Source organism: Homo sapiens, chromosome 4 (assembly GCF_000001405.40).
Source record: "Homo sapiens chromosome 4, GRCh38.p14 Primary Assembly".
Lineage (NCBI taxonomy): Eukaryota > Metazoa > Chordata > Mammalia > Primates > Hominidae > Homo > Homo sapiens.
Window position 1 is genome coordinate 159,140,447 of NC_000004.12, and position 25,020 is coordinate 159,165,466.

General features: G+C 35.8%; 1 protein-coding gene across 2 annotated transcripts in view, besides 1 other annotated feature; it reads left to right on the forward strand.

Annotated features, from left to right (window-relative positions):
• RAPGEF2 (Rap guanine nucleotide exchange factor 2) overlaps positions 1-25,020 on the forward strand; it is a 257,095-nt gene that overhangs the window by 37,368 nt on the left and 194,707 nt on the right. The window lies entirely within an intron of this gene.
• Positions 10,311-10,605: a silencer, noted in NCBI's record as "tiled region #8742; K562 Repressive non-DNase unmatched - State 1:Tss". NCBI's record gives its function as "represses a minimal TATA promoter and a strong SV40 promoter by Sharpr-MPRA in K562 cells {active_cell/tissue: K562}" and the evidence as "EXISTENCE:reporter gene assay evidence [ECO:0000049][PMID:27701403]".

Consider the following 25,020-nt stretch of genomic DNA (forward strand, 5'->3'; position numbering starts at 1 on the left):
TATTACTGTTTCTTAAAAGATATTTTTTGGGATGTCTCTTTGTAATTGCCAAATGTTAGGTTGCATGTGACAGCTTTAAATGTTACAAGTATCAGAGAATTCAGGATTTGCCATGGGCTGCGAAAATAGAGAAGTGGATAACCAAGGTAATGTAGAAGACTGTTCTAATTACCGGGGGATCAAGATGAGGAAAGGTTCTCAGTGACAACTCTCTAGTAGACAAAGAAATAGGAAATGAAATTAACAAGACCAGCCTGTTATTTAGCAGATAGGGCCTGGGAGGACAGAATTTAACATTGATAACACCAATTTAATGTTTCATGAAAGATCGTATAAGCAATGATGTTGAATCTTGGTAAGCCAAAAATTTTTTTCTGGAAAAAAAAAAAAATTTTTTTTTTTTGAGACGGAGTCTCACTCTGTCGCCCAGGCTGGAGTGTAGTGGCGCGATCTCAGCTCACTGCAACCTCTGCCTCCTTGGTTCAAGTGATTCTCCTGCCTCGGCCTTCTGAAGAGCTGGGACTGGAGGCGCCTGCCACCACGGCTGGCTAATTTTTGTATTTTCAGTAGAGACGGGGTTGAGTTCAAGTGATCCACCCACCTCAGCCTCCCAAAGTGCTGGTATTATAGGCATGAGATGCTGCGCCTGGCCTAAAAGTACTTTTTTAAAATAAAAAATACAAACGCTTTGCAACCCAATCTAAAACAACATAAGAGAAAGTCTTCCTCCTGTATACCACTGTTCCAAATTTCCTAATTCCTTTTTATATACTTGAATAAAAATTTTTATAATCCTATCGGGATATTTAGATATATTTTGTAAGTTAAACAAATGCCCAGACTGGGCAGTCGTTTCATACACATAGTTCTTGCCTTTCCTTTTAAATATTTCCACGAGATGATTCAAAGGTCAGCCTCATTCTGTCCAGCAGCACAGTATTCCCCTGGATACCTCATTATTTATCTTAGCAGTCCCGAAGGATGAACATTTAGCTTGTTTCTGGATTCCATGTCCCCTTACACATAGTGCTGTGGTGAATATCATTGTGTGTATGTGTATGTGTGTTTGTAGATGCTTTTTGTGAGTAGATGCATAGCTTAGGTCCCTGGTAGTGGAATTATGGAGACTAAGTGTGTATATATATATATTTATATATATTTTTTAACATTTTGGTAGATATTGCCAAATGGCTCATTGAGAAGCCTGTACCAGTTTATATTTCCACCAACAGTGTATAAAAAGTCCATGCCAGCGATGGATTTTCATTAAACTTTACCACTTTTGCCAATCTGAGAAGTGAAAAATTTTATCAGTCTTTAGATAACATTTCTTTGATTCTGAGTGAGGCTGAACATATTTTTATGTGGTTAGTGGCCATTATTAAAGATAATTTTAACCAGTTTTACATTTACTTCAGTTATAAATAATTTATATTAAGTGGAGAGACAGGCTCAACAAACAAATGGGATCCAGAAAACCTCACCCATCTGTAACATAAGAGAAGTATCTCAGTGTATCACTGTTGTTGGGGGCATATGTGCAGAATGAAAGACAAAGCAAATTCCCCTGTACCTTCTGAGTGTGTGTGACCAAATGTCTTTTCTACGTTGTGTACATCTAAGATTGTAGGAATAGCAATTTTATCTTTATTTAAATAATGTTATCTAGAACAATTGAAAAAATGATTTAATTTGGGTATTTATTTATTTTTGACTTTGAAAGTAAGAAGTACCCTAATGTCACTCAGAACATTAAAAATGTTGAAAATGTCTTTATTCTTTCTTCCCTTTTTGTTGTCGTCAGAAGTTAATGGATTTATAGCTTTGTCAAAATGAGGAACATTTTTCTTGTGTATGTTAAACCTCGGTTGATTTCTGACAAAACCAATAAGCAATTTATTTGGAGTATTTGAAAATAAATTATAAGATGAAAGAATCCTACTAGTACATTGGCAAGTGGATGGGACCAGATGATCAAATATTTCATTTCTATGTCTACATTTCATGAGTCAGTTTCACACAACAGCTGCTGTGGGGGAAGGGTTGACTTACCAGAATACTTCATGGTTTTTTTTTTTTTATATGAAATTTTTCAAAAATTGGGTATGAATGGGTAAACCAAGAACGTTTATTGCTAATATATAAAAATAAAAATACATAAACAAAATAAATGTAAATGTCAAAGAAATAAAAATATATGTTTTAACATATAATTCTAAAAAAGCCTTTAAAAATTTTCTTTTCAGTTTAAATTATAGAATGCAATGGTTTTTTAAAAAATCTTCTCTCTTATAAATAGTATGAGTAACAAATATTTATTGGATAGTTTCTGTGTGCCAGGCCCTGCGTTAAACATTTCACCTGTATTATGTGTTGGACACATTATTTCCATTTTTCAGAAGAGGCTTTGAAAGTGCGGTGATTTGTCAGGGCTGACACAGATGGTATGTGGAAGAACTAGTGGGGTAATCCAGGGACTCTGGTTCTAAAACTTGTGCTCCTAAGCATTGTGTTAGAATGGCTCCAAGTATTCAAGAAAAACAAATATAATTTGTGAATTGAGCTTATCTCACTAAAAACCTTCATATTTTTAAACATTAATAAACTTCCTTGAGTAATTTTAAGGATTAAGAAGAAATTTGTTGCTGGGCTTGGTGGCATGCACCTGTAGTCTCAATTACTTGGGAGACTGAAAATCACTTGAGCTCAGGAGTTCCAGGCTGTATCATATGATGATCGCTCCTCTGCATAGCTACTGCACTCCAGACTGGGCAATACAGTGAGACCACGTCTCTTTAACAACCACCACTACCACCACCAAAAAAAACCAAAAAAACGAAAAAAACTTTGTTTTTTTCTTTTCTGCAATAAATTTCCTCTAATTTTGTTTTTGGTTTAGGTCTTAGTCTTCCCTAATTTGGGTTCCAAAGGTCTGTGGAAACTCACACAATAGATGGAAACTCATAAAAGTGAGAAGCACATAAAAATCTTTATTTGGAATGTTTATTTTATCAATCTTATGATATATTCAAGGAGAATATATTTTCTCACAGCAAATATTCCACCGGGCCCATAACTGGTCAATTAATAAAAGGAGGATTTGTAATACCATGTGATATAATGTAGTTTATTTTGACTGAGAACTTGGGTCAAATGTAATTTTTTCTTTTTTTTTAACAGCTGCAGGGATATACACTTAAGGCTCTGGGTAAGAGCTGGATCAAATGTTACATGGTTGCTTTAAAGTTGATACTTACTGGGGAGCTGGATGGAATAGGTGTTTCTGGCGTTTTTTGAATGGGCAGTGTGCTTTTGAGGAAAAATGTTTTCTCTGACTCTGAGCAAATGCCTGCCTTTTTGACAGATCATATTGCCATGGAGAAGTGTAGAGTCTATAAATTGTAACTTGCAGTAACAGGCAAGAATATGGCATTGGGTTGTCATGTGGGGCTGTGAGAACAGAGTGACTCCAGATGTGTATAGTCAGTTTGTTCAGAGACGTTATTTTACAGTAGCCAGGTGCCCACTGGTCTTTTTATAATCTCTTTTTCTCATATTCTTTTTTCCTGTCTATGTGTATATGTCTGACATAGGAACAGTGAAACCGTGTAAAGAACTCTTTTCCTTCTTTAGTCTCAGAGTCCTCCCTTTAACCTGGAGCAAATCACTATTGAAAATTTGGTGGTGTCCTTCCAATCCATGTTTTTAATTCCTTTACTCTCTGTATAGCTGCATAAACAGTTTTGTGTTATTAAAGTTCATCCGAATACTGTCATCCTTCACATATCATTCTGCAACTTACCTTAGTCTTACTGTATTTTTTGAGGTCTCTTCATATTGACATTAATCTGGTTCATTTATCTTAGTTGGTGGATAGTATTCCATTGTACTGCATTTGATCTAGTCCCTTAGTAACAGACGTTTAGATGTGCTCTTCTTGTATTTCTGTGTAATTCTTCAGTTCCATTTGTTCCTGTCCTTTCTGTGGTATTGCGTGTAGGAACTCAGTACAAACTTACTTGACTTTATTTTGATTTGACTAAAGCTAGGTTATGAGCTATGAAGCTATCCTTCATCTGTTTCAGTTCTTTCAAATGGTCTCAGTTCAGTTTATTTATTTTTAATCATTTTAGGTACTTTGCAGTCATTCGTTCTCATCACATGTTTACTCTGTTGAACTGTGATATGTATTACCCATGTACTTGTAGCCTGGCTAGGTTTTGGGATGTTATTATCTTTTCAAGATAATGGATTTTTTCCAGAAATTATAAGTAACAGCATTGCTGTTGCAAGAAGCTGCCTTGTAACATCTTTGATGGGTCTAGGAATTATAGAGAAAGCATAGCTCTAACCTTTTAAGTACTTTTGATCATACTCCATTGATGTTTTTGCTTATTAAACAACTTGCTTCTTAATTTTTTTCTTTCTTCCTGTTTTTTTTTTTTTTTTTTTTTTTTTTGAGACAGTGTGTCATCCCCTTGCCCAGGCTGGAGTGAAGAGGTATGATCATGGCTCACTGCAGCCTCTACCTCCCTAGGCTCAGGTGATTCTCCCACCTCAGCCTCCCAAGAAGCTGGAACTGCAGGCATGCACCAGTACACCTGGGTAGTTTTTGGTATAGACAGGATTTCACCATGTTGCCCAGGCTGGTCTCGAACTCCTAGGCTCAAGTGATCTGCCCGCCTCAGCTTCCCAAAATGCTGGGATTACAGCCGTGAGCCACTGCATCTGGCCTGTTTTTTTTTCCCGCTTTATTGTAGTAATACTATTCAGAAAGTAGTGCTGAGGACTCAGTTTGCCTAATACAGTTGTCAAAATACAAGTTATATCAGTGCTTGCTGTCGGATAGAACATAATGCAAGCCACCTGTGTAATTTTTAATTTTCTAGGAGCCACACTATAAAAGGTAAAATGAAATGGATAAAATAAATGTTATTTAACCAGTACACCCCAAAACATTGCCATTTGCCAAAAACATTGCCAAAACATGTGATCTATATAACAGCGTATTGAGATAATTTACCAAAAACATTGCCAAAACATTGCCAAAAACATTGCCAAAAACATTACCAAAAACATTTGCCAAAAACATTGCCAAAACATGTGATCTATATAACAGCCTATTGAGATAATTTACGTTCCTCTTTTCTTACCAGCTCTTCAAAATCCTGACGTATGTTCACCAGGACCAGTGGCATGTCAAGCATTCCATAGCCAATGTGTTTAGTGGCTACCATGTTAGATAGTGCAGGTATAGAAAATATATGTTTAAGAGGTATTAGTAAGGATCACAGTGATTGGGCCTGAGGGGAGGTTTCAGGGAGGAGCTGGAGGTACCAAGGGCTGAGCAGATCTAAGCCATCAGGTGCCATGTGGATTGGTTGGAAGAAACCCCAGGTGCATGGCTTGAGCAAAGATGATGTGTAGTGGGAGCAACTCTGGCTTATCCCAGAAACAAGTAGCTGGCTTGTCATAGAGGGCTAGGTTTCAGAAAAGTGGGAAAGGAAGCGTTGATAGGTAAACTGTCACCACTTGATAAGGAGTTGTTGGTGTCGGAGTCTTATGCTGTCTGTATGTAACAGTATCTTTTTTTTTTCTGGCAAAAGATCATAGAAGAAAGCTTGTCAGGTTTATGAAACTATTCCTTCCATATTTCATGGTTGTCCTTGCAGAGTGAATTATGATTCTGATAAACTATGAGGTCATTGTTATATAATTCTATGAAATTATATATAAGTTGGATGTTTATCACTGTAAGGAGAATGACTAAGAGGGATGAGAATGGGTTTACAAAAGCAACAAAAAGTGGAATGTTAGTTGGATGTGTATATTTAATACTTTTGGTTTAATAAATTATGCCATAAAAAATCAGAAGTTTTAACTTTAAAACTTTAAAAAGCATGTAAGCTTTTTTCTTTTTTTTTTTTTCTTTTGGTGCATTGTAGGGATTATTAGGATAGTTCCTGGTAAGTTATAAAGCCTAAATGTTTAAATCTTTGAAGAACTCAGTTAACTAGAGATAAAAGTCATTTGATGACTGCTTGTTCTGTGTCAATATTTGTAATTACATTTATTAATTTAATCCTCAGAAGAACCTAATGAGGTAGATGCTACTACTGTTATTGCTATTATCATGTTACAGATGAGGAAACTGTAATATGATGCTGTCTGTATATGTAATAATAGTAGCATGGAGAGGTGACCTAACTTGTTCAAGGAGGAAGAACTGGGATTTGAATCCAGGTTACCTGGCACCAGAACTAAAGCTATTACCTGTGATGCTTCACTGCCTATTGTGGGGCTGACTTAGGTTTCTTCCCTCCCAGCTTTTCTTTGGTATCTAGTCATTTCTCCCCAGCTTTCATAATTTTTAATGTGAAAACATTGGTACAACCTGATTCAAGGAAGGAAAGACCTCATACTGTCTGTAATATCTTTGCAGCCTTTCTGTACTTCCAAAATAAAGGTTTAAAAAAAGAGTCACCATTGACAACATTAACCTATACATTCTCTTTTGCTCTTATTTTTTGTAGAGATGGATTGGTTTCACTTTGTTGCCCTGGCTGGTTTTGAGCTCCTGGCATCAAGCGTTTCCTCCCCACTGGCCTCCCAAAGTTCTGGGATTACAGGCATGGGCCACAGCACCAGGCCTCTTTTTTATTTTCCACTTTACCGTTCTATTAACCAGTCTTTTCTTTTTATCTGAAACTAAACATTAATGACTAAACATTATTGGATAAAATTATTTGCAGCATAAATGGTACTATCTTTAAAAAACACAAAGAATTTTTACAACTCAAAAAAGCAAACATGTTAATATAATGAATAAAGGGACAGGAATATACGAAAAGAAAAAGAAATGGTTTGAAGTGTATGAAAAATGATTTTCACTAGAAACTAAACATGCAGTTTTGCACAAAAATACCTTTTTTTTTTTGGTTTATTAAACTGGAAAAGTTCGTAGAAAAAAGAGAGTAATACCCAGTTTTCCTAGGGCTTTGAGGAGACAGGTTAGCTGACTACCCAAGGTCATACAATATCAAGTGGCAGAGGTATATTGCAGCATTGCTTAAAGTTGTAGAAAAAATAGCAAGATATTAAATATTTATAATGAATAGCTTGATAGAGCAAATCAAGAATTTGGAATAAAAGATTATTTTTTAGTTGCTCCTGAAGATATTTATGGTTAGATGTCAGTGATGAAAGCTGATTACAAAACAGAATGCATACTGTAGTTGAATATTCATTAAAAATTACACTCATGCATTCATATACATGTGAGTAGAAATCATCTCCACAGAAAGATTCCAATTGTTGCTTTCTCCTTACTAGGTGTGTGACTTTAGTCAAGATACCTAATCTCTCAGTGCCTTAAGTTTTCTTTGAAGAGATTCCTTTACAGATTTACAGGTAGTTGAAAGGATTAAATCGGATGAAAAGCAAAGAAAGAGTTTTTGGCAATGCCTGGCACATGTGCCTAATAAATGGCCCTCACAAATGTTTTAAAAAATCTTATTTCTGGCTGAAGAGATTGCAGATAATCTAAAATTTCTTATTTTGTCCTATTCATATTTAAAATTTTCAACAATAGACATATTTTATGAACTTTTTTAAAGCTAAGAACTGTTTTGTTTTTAGGTTAAAGAGAGCAAAGATAGATTTGATGTTATATTAACATCTAGTATATTAGATCTATATCAAAAATTATTACTGTTGCTTACTGAATTGCAAAGTCTAGAGAATCACTCATCTGATGTTGAAAAACAGCCCTTCAACCACATTTACAGTTAATAGTATTCATAAAGAAATAGTAAGTTTTATTGACCCTGAGTGCCAGTCTTTATCTTTAAAGTATAGACAGTTAGGCAAGGTTTCAATAACTAGAGAGTAGATGTTGAAAATTGTAAATGCCAGTTTCTTATATTTGTTTTTAGGAAAGTTTTAAAAATTATTTCTTATATTTTGAATCAGAAAGTGTTATGATTCCTTAATAAAGAGAAAGTCAAACTATCAGATTATTTACTAATTTGGGGAGTTGAATATAATGTTTCCAATAATTTTTCCTGATTTTATTTCCGTTTTGCCTTTAAATCCTTTGAAGCATCTTAACACATATGGTGGTCCATGTTTAACTACTCCTATTGAATGCCAACTCTTCTATTTAAAATGGATTTTCACTGTGTTTTTTTTCATGGCTTTCTTGGAAACCACTCTTGGGATTGAGTGTACTTAAGCATTGAGTTTGCAAGTGAATCCAGATTTCATATTACATTTTCTGAATAGTACAGTGTACGTTTATCTGCTTATTGGTTGCATTCTGGTGCAACTGTCAAGAACAGGTCTAGAAGAAACAAAACTAAACCTAGTTCTTATGAACATATTTGTTTTATGTAATTTCTTTTTGTAGTCTATTTTCTTAAATTTTGATATTTTATAAATGTTAGTTACTTTGTTTATTGGAAAAAGGATGTTGTGAACAAATTATTTTTGGGGTCCAAATTAAACTTGGATTAAACAAGTTTATTGTTTACTGCAAGCATTTTTTGAGCCCTTGATTTTCTAATCTGCATCTTGCCTCTCTAAGGCTGGAAGAGGGTAGGATATATGTTTCCCAAAATCAATTGACTTGACTAAGCCACCCTTTTGCATAGCTGTCATGAAACACATTCTGGGAAATACTGTTCTAAATAAAAATACAGAAAGAGGGCAGAAGATAAAGCTGAAATATTTATTCATTGAATAAACAATAAAACTGGCACTTAAAACTATTGCTTTTTGTGGACACAGATTTAAAGTTTTAGTTTTTTTGTTTATTTGTTTGTTTGCTTTTTTGAGAGAGAGTCTTGCCCTCTTGCCCAGGCTGGAGTGCAGTGGCGTGATCTTGGCTCATTGCAACCTCTGCCTCTGGCTTCAAGCAATTCTCTGCCTCAGCCACCCAAGTAGCTGGGATTACAGGTGCCTGCCACCACACCCGGCTAATTTTTGTATTTTTAGTGGAGACAGGGTTTCAGCATCTTGGCCAGGCTGGTCTTGAACTCCTGACCTCGTGATCCACCCAATTTGACCTCCCAAAGTGCTGGGATTACAGGTGTGAGCCACCGCGCCTGGCCTAAAGTTTTAGTTTTTCTTCTTCCTCTTCATCTCCTCTCCCTCATCCTCCTCACTCCCTTTTTTAAAATAAGAGACTGTTCTTTTGTAAACAATGAAAAAGAACCAGAGAATTATTTTGAGTATGTATTTCCCTAAATAGGTTATTTCTGTGTGTATAGTACTGTGAGTGCTCAAAAACTGCATTAAGTAATTGAGACTGTCCAGTCTGGTAAGCATCTTATAGAGTGAAATTGCTTGGTATTGGGTAGTTTTACCCATTGTTTGTTTTAGTGCAGCTATAATCAGAAGTTCTTAGGAGACAAAATTGCTATCATAAACAGATGTGATGTTGAAAATGTAATTTCAAAACTTTATAAAATGTTGTGGCACTAACACTGGTCTAAAAACAGGCACAGGTGGAGGTTGGATCTAGAAAATTAGCCCTGTAATCTAAGTTGTTTTACTTAGAATGTTCTGTTTTTCTTGCTCTAGACTTCGCAAATCCCAGTAGAAGGTTCACCAAGTAGTAGTAATTTATATTGTTATTAGCAGTATCAATTAATTTTGTTATTTGTGGTAGTTATATACTATAATATATAACAGTATATAACAGTATATAAACAAAATAGTTAATTTTGTTATTTGTGGTAGTTATATACTATAAAGTCACCATGACCACTGAATTAGCGAATAATGAACCATTGCTTCTAGGAAATACGGGGTTAAGTTCCTGCAAACTTCTGGTCACATTTTCATCAGCTAATTAATACATAACCCCATATTATGTGTGCTTTTGTTTAAAAATAGCTTATTGAATATATACGGTTGATTCATCAACATTAAACTCCTGGCCAGGAGCACTATAACTCATGCTTGAACGAAGTGTATCGAACACACATATTTTCTCTGTAAGGCACATCACAGGCTTCTTGTGCTTAGGGAACACAAGACAGCACTTCAGCATTTTGTTTGGAGGCCATTTTAAACAGTGGAATCACCAGAGAACACACAAGAATGGGAAAAACCTGAGACCTAATGTACCATGAAGAGAAACTTGTTTACTGTATAAGAATTGAAACAGGAAGGCAGAGGGCCACTTGCTCAGCCCCAGCTGGAAATGTGTTTGTTGGACAAACATTTTTTGGTGCTCTGTGCATGTCCCTTGAATGACCATGGAAGTCCAGGAGTATTGACTGTTCGAGTTACAAATAAATTTTAGCAAGTAGGCAAATTCACGAATACGGAATCCTTGAATAATGAGGATCCAGCAGTATTTGGATTGTTTTGGAATCAGGTGATGACCTAGAAGCTGAGGTTTCAGGTAACTCAGCTCGTGTTCCCCTGACTGCCCTCCTTCTCTGCTTTGCTGCTGTTCTCTCTCCAGCTTCAGTGTGAAGTATGTGTAGGTTGCTGCTGATCCAGCAAGCGAGAGAATAGAGGGTGACCAAGTAATGGGATTGGAGGAGTGAGTAGAGCTAGGGCTTGGCTATAGAAATTTTGCTGATTGTGCCCAAAATTCTTGGACAAATCGGAGACTTATATTGTACTTTCCTATTTCCTATACTTCAAGTATTAGTGTAATTTATGATAGAGAGTGTAAATGTTGGTTTCAAAGTTAGATTTTACCATATGCAACAAGTCAGTGTAGATGCAGGTTCAACTGTTTAAAGTACTTTAAGTTATACCATACAGCTGTTTGGCTTTTTTGTTCCCATGTGGGCTCATAGTTGCTCACAGCTGCAGTCAATGATAAACGCTTATCTCAGGAGTCCAGGTCAGTTTGGTGCAGGTCAGCTGAGTTGGTATGAAACTGAAAACATGAATTGAATGCAGTCAAATGACCCAATTTTGAGCAGTGCTTGTTAGCTGATTATTAAATAGGTTGTTTATTTGTTTGTTTTTGAGATTGTCAAGTTGATTTTATGTGGAAACTTGGGTTCTTGAGAAAATTTTTAAAAATACCGTATTAAGGGCCTGTTCTGCATAAAGTCCTGTGCTGGTCTGTGGACAATGAATCGGAATAAATAAAATGTGCTATTCCTTGGCTTTTAGAAGATGACAGTCTGATACAGGATGCAAAATATTAAAAAACAAAAAGCAAAGTTGTGGTGGGCTTCAGGAAATAAATTTGTTAGAGAGTAGGGTGCTTGGGGAAGGTGTAGTGAGAGGTATGTAAAGGCCAGTATCAGTGATTACTTTGTGGCTTTTTGTGTAAGTGTGTGTTTGTGTGTATTTGTGTTGGGGGGTGTCTGTTTAAAGTAGGGTGTAAACTTTAAAGCTTTGCATCTTAGGAATAAACAGTTGGGCGACATTGATGGAATGAGAAAAGGGCATTGGTAGGAGACAGGTACTTCTTCATCTAGAGGGACAAGGGCCTTTAACCAGATGCTTGATTGGCAGTGGGAAGGAGCTGTTGAGGAGCAAGAATAAGTGTGTCTTGATCACTGAATATGGACAAGGAGAAAGTAGAAAGTAAGGTTTTGTACTATTTAAATAATAAATGGGCCAGATGTGATGGTTCACACCTATAATTCTGGCCTTTGGTGAGGCTGAGGCAGGCATACTGCTTGAGCTCAGGAGTTCGAGACCAGCCTGGGCAACATGGCAAAACCTCGTCTCTACAAAAAATACAAAATTTAGCCAGGCATAGTGTTGCACGCCTGTAGTCCTGCTGTTTGGAGGCTGGGGTGGGAGAATCACCTGTGTGTGGGAGGCAGAGTCTGCAAGTGAGCCAGGATCACACCACTGCACTCTAGGATGGGTGACAGAGCGAGACTCTGTCTAAAAAAAAATAAGAAAGAAAGAAAAGAATGAATGTTTCTTCTCTAGTCTGTAAATCATTCTAAAACTTAAATCTGGACTCAGAGGCAGAATGCCCATTCCTGAATCTATGAAATTCTTTTGCATTGTTTTATTTTTAGCTGTGAGAAAATATTTTTAAAATTGGTATGTCCATGTGGCTATGGTTTTTTCAAGAATACTTTATTGTGGAATAATTTTAGATTACAGAAAAATTGCGGAGATGGTCTAGAAAGTTCTTGTAATATCCCCTACTGAGTTTCCCCTGTTAAAAACTTTTTTTTGTTTTTTTGGTTTTTTTAGATGGAATCTCGCTCTGTCACCCAGGCTGGGGTGCAGAGGCACAATCTCGGCTCACTGCAAGCTCTGCCACCCAGGTTCACGCCATTCTCCTGCCTCAGCCTCCTGAGTAGCTGGGAGTACAGGTGCCCACCACCACGCCTGGCTAATTTTTTTTGTATTTTTAGTAGAGACGGGGTTTCACCGTGTTAGCCAGGATGGTCTCGATCTCCTGACCTCATGATCCGCCCTCGGCCTCCCAAAGTGCTGGGATTACAGGCGTGAGCCACCGTGCCTGGCCTAAGTGTTATATATTTTAAAAGTGTTCTTAGCTGAAATGGTCTTCTATTTTAGCTAATGGTTTTAGGTGTTGCTGTCTTATATCTAGTTAGTAAGTGTTTAAATACTTGCTATATGACTTTCACTTGGATTGTTTATACACTTTTTTATATTGGTCAGTTACTATATTATTTCAATAATCTTTTATTTGCCTTTATCAAACAACTTCATTACACTAGTAGCCTTCACTAGCATGAAAATTCTCTGGTGCAGTGGACTTGAGTTGATTTTGATGTAGAATTTTGGAACTGGATTAGATGCAAGAGATTGCCTGATTTAGTGGTTCCCTTGACTGTACATTGAAACATCTGGGGAACTTTAAAAAGAAATCTTGCTGGGGTTCACCACCCACCCCCCACCTGAGAGGGATTCTGATTTAATCGATTTGGAGTGTGGCCTGGGCACCAGACTTTTAAAAAAGCTTCCACAGGAGATTGTAAAGTACAGTGAAGTGTGAGAACCACTGTTACAGTTCCTCACTCTGTGGAAAAGAAAAATGAGACTCAGACTTATTAATCAAATTAATGTCTACTTTGGGGATCCAAAATCATTATTAAAATTGGTGAATTTAGAATGACTTTTAGAGGTCCGTCTTGGTAGTTTTAATAATTTGGAAATAAAACTGAACACTGTGAGAGTCTCTTATCCTAATCCTTTTAACTGACCTATCACTGACTTTCTAAGGTCTAATACAGGAGTGATTAGATTTTCCCAGGTATATGTAGTGTCTCCTTCTTGCTTCCTCCAGTTGCCCCCCAACATTTTCCTGAAATTGAATCTTTGCTGTTTCTTTGAGAAAATATCCCCTCCTTGAAAGTTATTTGTAGAATTCTTGTAGGCTGTTCAGAGACGGGTACTCTGCAAATTTGCAAGTACAGGATGTTTTAAATAAAACAGAATTAGCTAACCTTGCATTAAAAGGACATATACAAGCCTCATTGCTTAGCATGGTATACAGTCGATGTTCAATTAGTACTTGAGTAAACAAAAGAAGGGCCCGTGTTTTAATTTTTAAACATTTCTATCTCTCAGTCCATCTTTGCAATGATAAACTGAGTGGTTAGATACGGAATCTGACATTTTGCAAGTTGATTAACTTCTTTAGGCTTTGGTTTCCTTATAAAATTAGGGTTGAATAGATGCTTTCTAAGGTCTTTTCTAGCTCTAGCATTTTATGATTCTATAACCATTAATATTTGGCAATGTAATTTTAAGTAAATGATACATTATCACCTAGCAGTCCAAAGGAAAGAATTTTCTTAGCTAACTAGAAGGTTGTTCAACTAGAGAAGCAAGTAGAATTCAGTATGTTGGTGAAATGGCAAGAAAACTTACTAGGTCGATCAGATGTAGAAAGGACAGTAATAGTGGATCCTTCTTTCTCAGCACATATTATTTATTGCCTATCTCTTACTGGTTGTGTTTACATCTATTGAAATCCCTTCACTCATAAAGTCTTTGTGTACTATATTTGGAGAATGCATACTCGGTATTACTGAACTCAGATTACAAACACATTCTTATGTTTTTCTCTCCTTCCACTCACATCACCTTTTTTTTTTTTTTAAAAAAAACAACCACCAAAAAACAAATTGAGATTACATCCAGAAACCAGTGACTATATTTAGCATTTAAGATCAAATGGTTAGTGATTGATGTTTAGCTATGTTATTGTGCTGATAATTTGTAAAATAATCTGCTTCTGGGGATAGGTAGCAGGCTGAATTTGTGATTGACTATGGAGATTTTAGAATCAAGAGATCTCTTGAATCAGAGACATAGAGGGAATTGGTGACTTGCTCAGGTTCTCAGATAGGATTTGATTCTGGATCTCAGTCAGATCCCTTCCCGTGTTACTATACTGCTTCTTATGAATTCTATATTAGGCCAAGTGGGCGAAGACAAATATTCTCTTTTGTTAGAAATGGGTATGAGGATAATCCGTGTACCATAGATATGATTGTTTGCTTAGAGAGCCAATCAGTTGTATAACCTATTATAAGTATATAGTATGAACCACTTTTTAAGTAGCTTACATGTTTATTAAAGTGATGATTTTCAGATGTGAAGCAGTATTATAAAAATTTGATATTTCGAATTCAGAACATCCTATAACTTCCATAATATATTCCAAAATATAGTGTAAATCTCCCCAGAGATTAACACAGTGAAACTGTCAGCTAGTATGTTTCCTGTGATTCTCAAATTAGGGACAAGGAACAACCTTAAACTATAGTGAGGAGACAATGAGATTTTTTTGAATTTTGAAAGGATACGTAGGTGAGAAAAAGTTGGCAAACACAGCATTTAAAGCCAATATGAAATTCCCGCTGAGTGGTTTTAATTTTCCGTTTTGATTGACAGCCACCTTTTGCACATTTCCTCGTCCTTGTTTTGACAAGATTTCAGAGGATTAGAAAATTGATTCTTCAGGCATTTCTCCTTCCCTTTGGCCTTAAACAAAGGTGGGAATGTTCAGTAATAGAATTCTGTCTTGAGAAGAAATACAGTTAATGGAAAGGAGATGATGAGTTTCTTTGTAAGAAGTTTCCAGGTAGGGGAACATGTAAGATGTTATCAGATGTTTCTCTAGTGGGACCAGTACTGAGCATTATTTTATTGTTCCACACCTGAATTGACTCTGTATTTAGGAGAGTAGAAATTCCTGGAATTTAGTTTGAGCAGTATTACAGAAGACGTGGTAATTCTTAAGTGTGACTTTGGTCTTTCTCAAGGAATAAAACAGCACTTTTGTCTATTGGCAGACCTCTGCCATTTAATTAGTAAATGCATCCCTTATGCCTCACAATGCACTCTTTTTTTTTTTTTAAACATTTATTTTTAATATAACACTTATAGCTATAAAATTTCCTCTCGGTACTATTTTAATTACATCTCACAAATTTTGATATGTTTTAGTTAGTGTTGAGTTCTAAATATTTGCTTATTTCTATTATAACTTTTACTTTGATTCATAGGTTATCAAAAACTTATTGCCAAGTTTCCAAATATTTGAAGATTTTTCTAGATATATGAGCTACTTATTCCCTTATAAAAGTTACTGTAAAACTTAGGCTTAAAACACTGTGTACTTGTTATGTCTCAATTTCTGTAGGTCAGGGAACTAAGGATGGCTTAGCAGATTCCAGTGCTTCAGGTTCTTTTACAAATCTGTAATCATCCTCTGGCTGGGGCTACAGTTTTATATGAAGGCTTGATTGAGGAAGGATCCACTTCCAAGCTGGCTGTTGGCAGGACTCAGTTTCTCAATAGAAATGAAAAATCTTTTGAAAGTGTCATTCTACTTAACATCCCACAGCACTTGAAATTGTTTTATATATTTTACTGCTGCGTGTTGTTAACTTCTGAATATATTGTTACTAATTTTCTTTGAACAATTTTTATAACACAACTAAAAAAAGAAAAGAATCTCTGTTTAATCCCTATGTGTTATATCTACTTTCTGAATTCTTTTCTATAAATTATGATTTGTATGTAATTTTTTTTTTAGCCTGAGGAACTTTTTTTTTGCATTTAAAAAAAATTATACTTTAAGTTCTAGGGTACATGTGCACAATGTGCAGGTTTGATACATAGGTATACATGTGCCCATTTTGGTTTGCTGCACTGATCAACTCATCATTTACATTAGGTATTTCTCCTAATGCTATCCCTCCCCCAGCTCCCAACCACCCACATGGACAGGCCCCAGTGTGTGATGTTCCCCGCCCTGTATCCAAGTGATCTCATTGTTCAATTCCCACCTATGAGTGAGAACCTGCGGTGTTTGGTTTTCTGTCCTTGTGATAGTTGTTGCAGTTGGTCTCGATATCTGCAGGTGCAGCGTCCAACTAACGATGGATGGGAAATATTAAGAAAAACCCCCAAACCCAAAAATAACAATGCAACAATAAACAATACAAACAAGAAATATAGTATAACAACCATTTGCAGAGTGTTTATATTGTATTGTTTAAAATAACCTAGACATTTACCCAGTACAGTATCTACCCAATTTACAGCTAAAGAGGGGCTCAGGAATATGTATTATTTAAGAAGCTCAGTGACTCCAGTGCTCAATTTAGGAACCATTTTCTCCCACTTAGCTGGTTCATTGGCCTTTCACTTTATTTGGCTGGTCAGGATTCTTGCATTGTCTGTCCATTCAAGCTGAAGAAAAGATACTGCCCAATTGCACCTTCTTCACATAACACTTCATGACCTATAAATGTCAATAAACATATGCCAGACTCCATTAACCATGAAGTTAGGACTGCAGCTTTGCCCCTTGAAAGGATCTTAGGTGGTTATAGCTGAGTATGTCTGAATGAAACTGCTGTGTGATAGCAGTAAAAATGCTGGCCTAGGGTGTACCGTTCAGTGGTGATTGAAAAAAAAGAAAAAAAGCCAACTAACAGGGCTACTGCTAAGCAAGTGGGAGAGGAGGGGCATTACTGTTTTTATCTATTATTGCTAATACTCCCAAATTATGTGCTTATTGTGTTCTTTATAGTTTGGGAATCATAAACCCATACTCTTTTAAAGTGGTTTCTAGGGTTTCGGAGTCAGACCTTTGACTTAACTGACTATGTCTGTTAGCCAAAATGGATAAGAATGGCTTTTTAAAAGAACATGTTTTACAGGACCAGAAGTTTTGTTGCACTTGGTATCTGTAATCTTCGTATCTGTCTAAAGGAATTCTTCACCAAGTCCGTTCTTCAGGGGGAAGGGGAAACCTTATGAGACAACAGCTTTCTATTGCCATGGTTTTCCTTGTTAATCATAATGTCCGTTTTCTCATTTGGACCTTGAAAAACACTCCCAACATATCTCTGCTGCTAGAATGTCATGGTTTAAGAAAGGAATGGTCCTTCTTTTAGGACAGTTCTTTGAGTATTTGAAGTTATTCCACTCATTTTCCTTTCTTCCTATGGCAGTGGCAGTGGCATGAAGGTTGAGGTAGGGAAGCTGGGTTTTGAGGAATTGGGGTAGGGACCGAGACAGGCAGCAGCCAGGTGTAGTAAATGTCTATGGTGGGGCTAGCAGATGGTGCCTGGGGGTGTACTTCTAATTTTGGTTGTTTAAAATACTTGTTTTATTTGACATTTCAGAGTTATAGTAGAAGTTTATAATATTTTCTTCTTAAAGGAGATAAATATTAACTAGAAGGTTTTAATGATTTTTATTCTTAAGAGGGCCTGCATTGTATTTTTGCCAAAAGTAAAAAGAGGCAATAGTCCTCTTAATTTCCTTCAACTTCACTCCCCAACCAGCAATAAATTCCAGGAACTGCATGCAGATCAGTGATCCTTTATCTTTCATTGTTCTCCTTATGTGGGAAAGCATTATTACTTAGGTGTAAATGTAGATTGTAGTTGAACAAAAAGCAAAGGAAGACATATCCCTTTCCTTTGGCTCTCCTTTTTGTGTCTTGAGTCTAAAAGGACTTTAAGATTATCTAGTTAATCTCCAGTCTCCCAACAGGCAGTACCTAAACCATCTTTGTTGAGAGCACTTGTAAGGTTATCAGAGGTCATTAAAAAATTTCCTACCCAAATCTCTCTGCTTTTAAATAGCTAACACCTTTCCTTTACAGAGTTCCTTTATTGAACATTTTGTGTAAATATTCTCTTTGTGGGCAGGGAGAAGTAGGTAATTACCAGTAGCAACCCTTGGTGGTCGCAAACAAAAAAAAAGTTCAGAGATGACTATAGTCACCTATTCAGGAGAGCATCCAGAGTATGTTGGCACACAAAACCAAGTCTTTTTAATTTATGCAATTTGCTCAATATTAATTGAATCAACTGAGAAGGGTGAAATTTTACTAGCGTTATTTGCCAGGTTGGACCTTGGAACCTGAAGGAACCAGAAATTATCATTGACAACCTCGCTAGAGGCCCTTACTCAAGTTTCACTCTTATTTGGGTTTTTTGGAGACTGGCTAATCCCCCTTTTCTTTAAAATTGAAACAATAGCCGTAGCTGTATAAGGGCTAGCGTTTAAGTGTTTTATAATCTCACTTTATTTGGTCTTAACGGCAACACTATAAAGTGTAGGTATGATCCTTAATTTTTATATGGTGAAATGAAAGCTTAGAGATATTTAAGTAACTGTCCCAGAATCTTACAGCAATAAGTAGCAAAGTTAGGATTTCGACTGGGTCTGATGCCAAAATACTTCCCTCAGTTGTTTTCCTCTGCCACCTCTGTGGTTTGCAGCGCCCGTCCACAGTGTCTCCCTCAGCCCCTTTCCTGGATCACGCAGCTGTTTATTTTGCATCACCCTCCTTCCATTTTACAAACAACAAGTTGTACCCTCAGATTCCACTGTTAGGCAAATATGGTTGGACATCACTATTCTCTTAGGAAAAATGTGTTGCTTCAATCTGTATGGAGAAAATTCTTTTATTTTGATTTAAGTACATATAGTGGGATCAACCTATAGATGTTTTCAAGAAAACTGAGTGTAGTGTTGTTCCAAGAAAATTCTTTTATTTTGATTTAAGTACATATAGTGGGATCAACCTATAGATGTTTTCAAGAAAACTGAGTGTAGTGTTGTTCCAAGAAAATTCTTTTATTTTGATTTAAGTACATATAGTGGGATCAACCTATAGATGTTTTCAAGAAAACTGAGTGTAGTGTTGTTCCAAGAGGTCTCTTAAAAAGAGTATTTCAGAATCGTCTGACCACTGAAAAATTATTCATACACATATTACAGCAAATTAAATTTTAGTGACTTTTTCTCAGCATTCAAGATTATAATAACAATTCTACAACTTGACCTCTTCATTAGAAATGTGGAAGTGATTTAAACTGACAGTGTGAACAATAGTGTTCTCAACTCGTATAGCAGCATCCTATTTATAGATGGAAGCAGCTGCATCCTTTTTCTTTATTTAGGAGGAATACTATTGTTCTCAGATCATCAGGTGGATGATCCTGTGGGGAAAATGTGATTGAGCCAATTATAACACAGGTATTATTGATCTCCCTCCAATCAAGCTTTTATTCATCTATATGGAAAAAAACCCACATTTAAACTCTAATAGCTAAGTATGAAATGTGATGCTGAATTCATATTAATTGGACACTTACATAGTTGTTTTAGTCTAATGAGATTATTTCATCAAGAAGCTATCTTTGTTCAACATTTCTAGTTGTGCAAAGGCTTTAGTCTGTTACGTATACTATAGACACATGTCTATTCACATTTAAAATTGTAGTTATTTTATGAAATGTACCTTTTACTGATTCCCATTCTTTCCTATCAACAACTGATAGTTGTGCTTTTATATAAAATGTTAATAATATCTGATACTTACAGAAAGCCAGGCACTGTGCTTTATATTTTGCCTGTTTTATCTTACTTAATTCTCTCCCAACCCAGTGAAGAACATGTTTTCTCACATTATACAGATGAGGACAGTTGATATACTTTGCCTAAGGTCATACATTACACAGTAAATGCTAGAACTGAAGCTTCAAACCCATCTGTTTCTGATTTTAAATCCTCACTCATGTAACATGGATATTGTTGGCAGTGTTGGGACTATGGCTAGAAAGTGTTTGTTTCACTTATTTCAATAGCAAACTTCAGTAGCAATTTGAAGAAAGTCAACTTCAAACTAACTGCATTGCCTGCGCACAGAGCTTAGACCAGAGTTAGGTATGTATCTTTAACATGATATTCAGTATATCTTTTTCTGTATGTAGCAAACTATATGGATGAAGATCTGTTACTTTGTGCCTTAAAATAACGACTCCAAAAGGAAGTGGATTTGATTTAAGTGAATTTGTAGTGCATGCTCTATTCACCTATTCCTGTACATCATTTTTTTTTCTCTTCCACAATGAAATTTTTTGAGTACGATGTAGGAAATCATCTTAAAGTGGAGTGTACTTACCCACATCAGGGTTTAAAAGGTAAAATTTCTTCTATAGCTTTGTCTATATTACATTTTTACCCTTCCATTTGAAACTAATTAGAAATATTAGTGATCAAGTATCCGAACCTAATTAGAAATTAAAGTTTTTTTTAATCATAGGTTTTGAATTCATAGCTTAAAAAAATGCTTCTGATTGAAGATAAGATGGGAATTTACATGGGATAAAAGAAAAAAGTACCTTAAATGAGGACATTCCCATGTATGATTAAAAAAACATTCTGGATGTAAACATTAAAAACGGATTTCTGTGTGTCATCCTAAAGATTTTGAGATTCATGTATTAATTTGTTTTCAGAAATTAAAGGGATTACAATTGTTAGTAAAATTGAACTTCGTAATAATATTTTCTCTGGTATTAGTTTCAGAAAGCCAGTGATTAGAAGAGATGTTAACTGTGTTTGGAGGTAGTTTCTTTATGAATAGTTAAAATTGTATTTTCAAAAATTTGTATCATAAACAATATGTAGTTTCCCTGTAGGTTTTCTTTTTGCGAAGTGTTACTTAATTGAAGAAATAATTTAGGCTGGGCACCGTGGTTTATGCCTGTAATCCCAGCACTTTGGGAGGCCAAGGCAGGTGGATTGCCGAGCCCAGGAGTTTGAGACTAGCCTGAGCAACATGGTGAAACCCTGTTTCTACCAAAAATACAAAAATTAGCCAGGTGTGGTGACACTTGCCTGTAGTCCCAGCTACTCAGGGGGCTGAGGCAGGAGGATCGATTGAGCCTGTGAGCCCAAGAGGTCAAGGCTGCAATGAGCCATGATCACGCCACTGCACTCCAGCCTGGGTGACAGAGCAAGGTCCTGTCTCAAAAATAAAAATAAAAAAAATTTAGATTGTGATGGCAGTTATGATAGTTAATCACAGCCAAACATAATTGCTTATCTTCATACATATTAAATTTGATTCCTTGTGTGATCAGGTTTGATGCATAAACCAAGGATGGTGATACCTTTCAAGAATCTAACTGGTGCTTAATAGAGGAAGTTAAGACTTTTAAAAAGTGAGCTATAGTAATTTAGATTATCTTCCAAATCTATTCTAAACTTTTATAGTCTTTTAAAGCATGCATCATAACGTTCTGGAGAGAAAAATCTGCAGAATGCAGCATGCAAACAGCTGTAAAGTAAACCGTAAATTTTGTTCATTTATATGTTGTCTCTAACATATTTTTAAGTGTTTGTTAAAAATCTGGAATCTTTGCTGGGTGTGGTAGGTCGTGCTTGTAATCCCAGCACTTTGGGAGGCTGAGGTGGGATGATTGCTTAAAGCCAAGAGTTTAATACTCGCCTGAGCAATATAGTGAGACTGTGTTTCTTCAAAAAAAAAAAAAAAAAAAATAGCTGGATGTGGTAGCGTGTACTTGTAGTCCCAAGTAGCTGGGACTACAAGTACAAGGCAAGAGGATTGTTTGAGCCCAGGAGTTTGGGGGTTACAGTGAGCTATGATAACACTGCACTCCAGCCTGGATGACAGAGTGAGATACTGTCTCTTAAAAAAAAAAAAAAAGGTCTGGGAATCTTTATATTGAAAAAATTAATTATTATAATTGTTCTTAGAAAATAATTTTCAACCACCTGGGAAGCATATTCGTAAATCTTTACACTTAAAATTCAGGTTTGTTGTATATATTAATGAACCTGGATTGTAGAACCTACTTAAATCCTGCCTACATCTGCACAGTGTCTGCCAGCTATCAAAATAGAACCTAAGGGTTTTGCTGGTGTTCTCTCATTTAATGAGGTACCAGGTAACAAAAAGAAGATTCTAGATTATAGCCCTCAGCCACCCTGTGCATTGAGTTTTCAAATGGAATTGATTCTCAGGTTATAAGTAACTTGTCCACAGTTAAAAACCATGCAAGTTGCAGAGGTGTAGATTTTATCTCAGCCTGGCTCCAGAGATCAGTCTGTTACCCACAGTGCCAGCATGCAAGGTATATTAAAGTACACATTTTAAGTTGTCTCTTTTATTGTTCCTTGTAATTTTTTTTTCCGTAAGATTACCCAGGGAGGAAGAAATAGATGAAATACCAGAGAGGTTAGGCAGTGGACTATAATCTAGAATCTTCTTTTTGTTACCTGGTACCTCCTCACTCCGAAACACCTGTTCCAAAAAGGAGTTAGTTATTTCTGATGATGACTGTGCACCACTTGCTGAGCTTTGTAAAGGGCTTAATTTTGTTTCTTTTTGTATCATACTATTCCAGAAAAGGTAGCTAGTAGGTATTTATCCTTACCAAAAGATGGGCATGCTTGAAGTAAATGGTTCAATTATAAGAGTGGGGTGGTTTTTCTTATTCCAATAATTTTATACATTATTATTTTACCTATTTTACAGATTTGTAAAATGTGGCAATTGTGACAGAATTTTTTCCCTCCAGAACCCCCAATAATATCCTGTTAGTGCCTCACATAATGAGAGATGATCATGGAGACATTTTATTGTGAGGTATAAATGTTGAGTGTTGAATAAGCACTTTGTCTTGATGGAGAATTACTTTGCTTTTCTGGGGTGGTAAAAATGGTTGTTTATACTGATAGAATAAAGCAAATAAGAAAGTTTATAAAAGCTCAGTGAAAATTCAAGAGCACTCTAAATATAAGCTTATATTTCTCGTATCATGTGTTGTACAAAATTTAGGCTTATGTGCAAAAATAAAAGATCTGATTAAAATGTTTACTTAAATGCATAAATGAATACAGTGGAACTGTCTAAGACATGTCAAGAAAATTTGGTGTTAATCTATTTAAATTTTTTGGTAAGCATAAAAATCACTTTTTCTAGTGTACTGGAAGAAAAGTTATTTACTGACTCAGCACATTTTAATTGAGTCCTTACTGTGTGCTAGAGACTGTATAGTTTTAAAAAATGCCAAGAAGGGGTTACTGAAAGATGAAAGGATCTGAAAAACAAAGGGATTATTACATCAGTAAAAATCACATCAGGGGTCTGTCTAGATGAGTGTGAAGAAATTATAGTACATGGATAAAATGAGCAAACTTAGGTTGTATCTCACATATCAGGGCTACTTGTGAGGTTTCATAAAATATGACTTCAAAGTTTGTTGGGTAGATAATGATAACATGTATCAGTAGTACTGGTAGTTTTTTTTTTTTTTGAGACGGAGTCTCGCCGTGTCCCCCAGGCTGGAGTGCAGTGGCGCAATCTCAGCTCACTGCAAGCTCCACCTCCTGGGTTCACGCCATTCTCCTGCCTCAGCCTCCTGAGTAGCTGGGACTACAGGCGCCCACCACCACACCCAGCTAATTTTTTGTATTTTTAGTAGAGGCGGGGTTTCACCGTGTTAGCCAGGATGGTCTCGATGTCCTGACCTTGTGATCCGCCCGCCTCAGCCTCCCAAAGTGCTGGGATTACAGGCGTGAGCCACTGCACCCGGCTGTTTTTTTTTTTTTTTCCTTCTTCTTCTTTATTAAACGGGAGAGACAGGAAGGAGAAGGGGAGAGAATATAAGAACAAATTTGAATGAATGAGAGGAGTGAAAACGAAAATATCTGTATTTTGGATTTGAAAATTCTACTGTAGCAGATAATAATAACCTGGCTTATTATGGAGTTAGTGTATGTGTGTAGCAGTTTGAAAACTGTCTTTGATATCTTTCCTTTTGGTGATTATTAGATATAAATTATCTACATGTGAAATTTCATGGAAATTAGAGATAATATAGAATATTCAGCACAGTGTCTGGCATATAATAGGTAGTTATTGTTGATAAATCATTTATATGAATACATTCATATAATGTGGGTGGTACAGTACAATGCAATGGTTTAAATAATGGCTTGAAACAGTAAGCTTGAAACTGATATTTTGGTTTGATAGTTTATATTACTAAGCTGTTGAGATGTGACGTCGCTACAAAAATAATAAATTTAGCCCAATATCAAAATAGTAAAACTGACTGCTAGGATCATAAAAATTTAGCTTTCCAGCGTATTTTGTGACTTAGTTCAGTTTGCTATTTTTGTTTTAAGAAAAATGAAGTTCAAAATATTGCAAGCACACAGGATGGTATAAAATACAGCAGTGTATTCCTGCTGAAAATCTTTAACATACTGTTGAAAATCTTTAGTAGAGGAATATATTCTGCACATTTAAAAAAATCTCACACAAAGAGCCTTCTATGTTTCTTAAAGAATTTTTTTTTTCTTTTTTGGGGAAGGGGAAAAGGTCTGTAGGATAAGCTTATTTAATATGACATCAGTTGAATAAAGCCAGCTGTGAGTAATTATCTCCGATATTTGATTTCCAGCTGTTTTGTTGAACTGTTATGGGCTCTCAAGGTATTTGGATATTAATTAAATGATGACTCATTACAAAGGAGTCTTGTTTTAAATACTACTTTATAAAATAGAACATTAAAATAGACCAACTGGTACAAAGTTTTAATCTTTTCTGGAGTAACTATTTTTTCCTACCTGGTTCATTTTCATGTTTATTTTAAAGTCAATACATTTTTAACTTGGAGGAAATCATTCAGATCGGATATGTTTTGGTAATTATTTTATATAATTGTATGTATATCTATATATCTCTATCTGTAT